Source organism: Homo sapiens, chromosome 3, assembly GCF_000001405.40.
Source record: "Homo sapiens chromosome 3, GRCh38.p14 Primary Assembly".
NCBI lineage: Eukaryota > Metazoa > Chordata > Mammalia > Primates > Hominidae > Homo > Homo sapiens.
The window spans coordinates 194,875,073-194,881,132 of record NC_000003.12 but is presented as its reverse complement, the minus strand read 5'-3'; the positions used below and the strand labels follow the sequence as shown (position 1 = coordinate 194,881,132).

Genomic DNA, 6,060 nt, shown 5'->3' with positions numbered 1-6,060 from the left:
CTGCAGCAGTAGTGGGGCCCAGCCCTGATAATGCCCTCAAGGTGGCCAGAGAAGAAAGCCAAAGGCTCTGACTGACTGTATGCCAAGGAGGAAGTAGCAAAGCAAATGCTCCTCAGGGGTCTCAGGCACTCAGTATTGGAGGGATTCTTTGGTCTGTGGTGGGACCCTGGGGATGATCCTGCACACTACGCACATTGTCCCCAGACCATCCCAGCACTGAGGTCTCTGGAGACAGAAGAGCCGCCAGCTGGTTAATTAATGCTCCCCCGGCAAGCTGGGCAGACAGGCTCCAGCTGCCTCCAAGCTGGTCTATTAGCAGGTCTAGGCTCCCTGTGCCGGGCGCAGCATGGAGCTGTCAGGGAATGTCTTTGAGAAATTAAAGTGGCATTGCTAAGTGGGTACACATAACAGGAGTGAGCCAGCCTGCCTCTCTCTCCTCCTTCTGCCTGACAGTGTCCCCACTCTGATGCCCAATGCATGAGAGTGTGTTTGTCCAGAAACGTAATTAAAGCTGGCTGCCAGATGGGACCAGTGTGTGCCAAGTTTCAGGCCAGGCAGGGGCAGGCCCCTGAGCCCCTCCTGGGTCCATTGCCCTGGTGGAATCTTGCTCTTGGATGCCCCTGGACCCCAGAAGAAAAGTAGAAAAGACAGCACTGGTGAGGCCAGGCCAGAGCTTTAGGAGTCCATCCTGTTCCAACTGGCAGGAACTCTGCCCAGTGGGCTTAGCCCTCTCCTGGCCTGAGTGCCGTCCCCTTTCCTGAGTCCTCCTTGCCTTGATTCTGATCACCCTGTATGTTTTCACCTGCCTTGAGCCTCCATTACTAGGTTTTAGAGGTCTGGACTGTGATTGACATGACCCTGTTTTCACGAAACACTGGGGCCCCATGGGAAGGGCCCAACACGGGCATCCTCTCTTCTCCTCCTCCCTCCCACCAGAAGGGCTGAGCTGGAAACCACAGGAAGGGGCCGGGCTGGTTTGGCTGCTGAGGCTGAGCGTTGGAGCTGGGGAAATCAGGAAACCCAGGCCCGATTCCAGCATGAGTTGGAAAGATCCCCAGCAGCCAGGGCATTTGATAAATAAGACTCTGAAAACCTGTGATGGCAAAGGATTTTTAGACGTTCATTAAACTTTAAAACCTTTGTTTTGAAACACAGTCCTCCCCATGAGGGGCAATGTGTTTTAAAATTAATCTTTATAAATATAATGCATGCTCATGGGCAGAAATCAAAATAATGCAGAAGACTGTGAAATGAAAATAAAGGTGTCTGTGACCCTCCCACTCATTGGAGGTCAACCGTCAACAGCATCAGGGCAATTGGGCTTCAAAGAAACAAAGTCAGAATTGAAACTACAAAATTCAACTAGACTCTGAGTGGTACGTTTGGGATGGAAAAGGGAAGTGTGTGTGCGCGCGTGTGCGTGTGTGTGTGTGTGTGTGTGTGTGTGCACGCGCATGGATGTGTGTAAGCACAAGCCATGTTTACTAACGCAGGCCCTGCCCCCAACTGCCAGGTTTCAGATTCTAGCTCCTCTATTCATAACTGTGTTGCAAGTTAGGCAGTTTGCTCAACTTTTTGATTCCTCTCTTTTTGTCATCTGTAAATTGTGAATAATAATAGTACCTACCTACACAATTGTGCAGATCACAGTATTTTTTAGCTCATGAAACATTGGTGAACCTGCGAAAGGCTTATCAGTCTGTCCGTGCATGCCTATCAACCCCACCTCTTTCTAAAACCAACAGGAATTACAGTAACCCCTCACATGTATGTACCACTATATAGTTTAAAATGACCTCACTTCCCTGGCAGGCAGCTGTGTTATCTCCTTAAGAGGTGAAGATATGGAGACATAGTGACTTGTCCCAGGTCCCATGGCTACAGAAGGCAAATCTGGGTCTAAAACACAAGTGGTGTCCTTTTCTGTGCTCCCAGGGAACCTCAGAGCTCTGTCTGGGCAGTGCACGCTGGGGCAGGTGGCAGCTGGGCAGAGAAAGAGCTCCTGCAGTTTCCTTGTCTTCTTCCCCTTATGATTTTGGTGTGGCCATTGGGACACAGCAATCAGGTCTCTTGACCCCAGCTTAGGGGCAAAAACACACAAATTAATTAATGTATTTATTGTTAGAGACAGGGTCTTGCTCTGTAACCCATGCTGGAATGCAGTGGCGTGATCACAGCTCACTGCAGCCTCAAAATCCTGGGCTCAAGTGATCCTCTTGCCTCAGTCTCCCAAGTGGCTGGGACTGCAGGTGTGAGCCACCTGGCTAATTTTTAAAATTGTATTTTTAAAGACAAGGTCTCACTACATTGCCCAGGCTGGTCTCAAACTCCTGACCACTAGCGATCCTTCTGCCTTGGCCTCCTAAAGCGCTGGGATTACAGGTGTGAGCCACCGTGCTCAGTCAAAAACACCTTTATTAAAGATTCTGTCTTCTTTCCTTCTCTCTTCCTTATTGAGCTTGTATGGTCTTAATCAGTTTCATTGGTCGACCTTTTTTACTTTTAAAAAGTGATTGTTTTTGCTGATTAAAAAAGTAATACCTGAATACTGTTGAAAATACAGATAAGCAAACAGAAAATAAAAATAAATGTCAGAGTAGAAGTGTTTTCTGCCTTCCTGGAGTTGTTTCTGAGGTTCCCACCATGACCAGCGGCACTCAACAATAGTGCAGAATCTTCAGCTGGGGGTCCCCATCAGCCCCTTCCAGCTTCTGCCTACAACCTGATACCATAAGAAACTTTCCAAGATTCACAGGATTCATGATTACAATGACTTCGATCTGCAAATGGCGAATACAATTGGACAACAGCATGACTTAATAGTTTTTTAAGCTGCTTTTTAATTTAAAAATCCAGGTGAGAACTCTACCCTTCACGTGAAATTTGATGAAGTTTTTGGAAAAATTCATTTGGTCAGTGCACTTGAAAATGCCTCACTGCATCCGTTCTAATTCTCTTGGATATTATTATCAGTGGGCTGTTTTTATCGAGACAGCAAACTTACTTGTTGAAATTAGTTTCAACAGACTGTTCTGTGCGTCACAGACTCAAAGACCAGGAGGGAGAGAGCGGTATGTAAGCCCCAGTTACAATGCTGGACATTGAGCGTCGTGATAAATATGTGTACTGAGCGTGGTGGGAGTGCCCAGAACAGGACACCGATTTCACCCAGGTGCGGGGGGAAGGAAGTTCTGACGAAGCTTTACTGAGGAACTGGACACTGAGCTGGACCTTGAATGAACATTAGGAGTTTGTCAGGCAGAGACCGGATGGAAGGCGGGGAAAGAGGCTTGGCAAGTAGCTTGATGTGGCCAGGGCAGAGGGGGATGCCTGGGGTTAAGAGGTGGGGAGGGGTCCGCAGAATCAAGAGATGCAGCTGAAGGAGCAGGTAGAAGCCGGACTAAGAAGGACCTTGTGTGTGCGCTGGGGGATTTGGTCTTCATAGGCTCTGCAGTAGCACTGCTCAACGCTTTCTGGCCTCTGTGCCCTACCCTAGTTCTGTTTAGGAATGACTGGGTCTGCAGCAGGCAGGTTCGAGATAGAAAAGTGCAGGCTCACAAACCCCTGGGAGGAAGTGTGCTGGGCTTCGGGTAGCGTGTAGAGGAGAAAATGGAGTAGGGTTGGCTCTGGAAGGAGAAGGAGGCTGTGTCCCTCTGGCTGGCATGTTTCCCAGTCTCCTTCAGGGTTCCTCTGGAAAGTTCTCGTGATTCTTACCAAGTATCTGCCTTCAGCGAAGTCGCTTATGAATATTAAAATACACACGCAGACACACGCTCATACTCATGCACACACACAAGTGCGTACACACACGCACAAAGCAAAGGGAAGCAATTAGTTTACTGGTTTCTTCCAAGAGTTTTCATGTGGAACTGTAGGAAAATACTACTGAGGAGGCTAGAAGGGAAAATTAACCAGTAAATAGACAAAAGCAAGGAAGTCAGATCTCGTCTCCTCAGAGGCGTGTTTCAAATTCTGGCTTTTTAGAAGATTTTCTTCTCCCCTCTGATGGAGACAACAGAAACGGAAGGGCAAATGCCGGCTGTCACTAGCCACTTGGGTTTTTCTGGGATTTGGGCCACCTGGGTTCTGTCAAGGTGAGGCACGTCTTCAGCAGCTGTGAAAGCCCTTGAATTTCCTGAGTTAGTAAGTGGGTCAGAGGGAGGCAGCTGAGCTCCACCACTTCCCACACACCCCAGCTTCCCTGCATCCCCCAAGCCCCCAGCCAGGTGGGAAGGGAGCCGGAAAGGCATGGAAACAGCTGGTTCTACTCTGCACAGTGCTCCCAGGTTGACCGGCCCTCACTCTCCCAGCTGCTGAAGCTGCCCGACCACCGTGGGGCCATCAGGCTAAAGAGTGGAGGGGAGAGCTGGGGTCCTGGCAATACCAGCCCCTTTGTCTTGGCCTCCAGCATCTGTGGCTGGAAACAGAGCTCAAGAGGTGATTCAGTCCATCCTGGCTGCCAGAGGATGTGGTCATGGGGTGCGGGAGGGGACCATGGCAAAGCACTGGGATTCCGCCCTTTAGGGGGGCTGGCCAGCAGGGGCAGGAGGCCAAGGTCCTTGGCCCAGGGCAGGCCCACTTGTCTCGGGTTATTTCTGAGTTCTCATCTAAAGCCAACGTTATTCCTAGAATGTCTAAAATGAGATGCAGATAGAAAGAAGAAAAGAAGAAAACGGGTCTGGCCTGGTGTGACCAGATGCCTCGCACGTGTCAGTCCCTGAGGATTCAAAGACGAGTAAGATGCATCTGTGTAAGAGCTCCAAACATTTGTGGACACCGGCTAGTCCTCTCACCATGGCCCGGGGAGGGAGGGGAGGCAGCTCTCTAACCCACGCGTGAATAGTTGAGGCTGCTCCAGTCCCCGCAGCCTGGTGTTCCTCATATCTCATCTGTACCCCTCCCTGAATAACCAAAGAACTGAAGATTTCCCATGTCACCGGAGTCCAAGGATAGGATCGAAGAGTTCACCATAATGCTTAGGTTTCCCCGGCACGCTCCGCTCTTCTCTCAAAAACCAGAAAGGCGCCAGATGTGAGTGTTGCACCGACACATGGCCCGCACATGCCTTCGCAAGCCTTTGTTGAAGTCGCCTGCATAGTGAGTAGATTTGTCATTGTTATGCTAGGGAGCTTTCCATTTTCTCTGCACAAGAGCTGTGTCAAGTTCCACTCTGGGTCATGGTGCCCCAGACCCAGCCAATAAATGAACAAATCCTGTGCCGTGGCAGCTCAGCCAATGAAGGAAAAAATTCTGAGCTTAAAGATCGTTGGATCTAGCATGTTTGTTGCCTTAATAAGGGTCTGAGACCCAGGAGACTGGTGCTGTACCCTGCTACATGTGTGCAGTGTGGCTCAGGGTGGCACTGAGGATATGCCTGGCACCTCCCGACAGGTTCACATGTCTCAGCTTGGGGAGTGACAGTGTTTGGGCTGGAGGCTGGGTTAGTCGCCAACTGAAAACACCATTTAATAAGGTTGGCTTTCCACTTCTTTGAGGAGTTGAGTTTGTTGGTAACTTTCATCCCTATGCATACAAAGACAAGATTGGCCAAGTTATAGGTCTTAGGGAGTAAGTATCATGTAGGCCTTGTCAGTGGCCAATGGTAACCAAAAAGGTAATGTGGTTAATGGTTGTATTAATGGACATATATGGTCCACAGTGAGGGAGGCACAATCCACTGTTCTGGACATAACCTTTTAGAGACACGGACTGAGGGGAGAGCCACAAGAGAGAAACCAGGGTCAAACAGGTCTGAATGAGGAGCTTGTCAAACGAGCAAGAACTGAGGGATCTGGGGAGGTGGGGATTGGAAAGGACTTGGGAAGCAGGAGTAGCAGACGTGCCCTCTTCACATTTCTGATCCTTGGAAAAGTAGTTAGGTGTGTTCTACATGGTCCCAGGGATTAAAACTCAGATCTAGGAGGAAGGGACAGAGAAGTGGCATTTAGCTCCTGGAGTTTAAATAGATGACTGTGAGGTTCTCTCTGCCCCAGAGAGCCATTCCCAGGTTTCCTGGTCAGTTTCCTGGTGCTGAGTGTCCTTTGGCATTTTCCCGCCCAG

At 49.6% G+C, this 6,060-nt stretch overlaps 1 annotated feature.

Moving 5' to 3' along the window:
- Positions 233 to 733: an enhancer, noted in NCBI's record as "H3K4me1 hESC enhancer chr3:194601129-194601629 (GRCh37/hg19 assembly coordinates)". NCBI's record gives its function as "activates a minimal SCP1, AML or CMV promoter by ChIP-STARR-seq in primed H9 embryonic stem cells {active_cell/tissue: H9 hESC(primed)}" and the evidence as "EXISTENCE:reporter gene assay evidence [ECO:0000049][PMID:30033119]".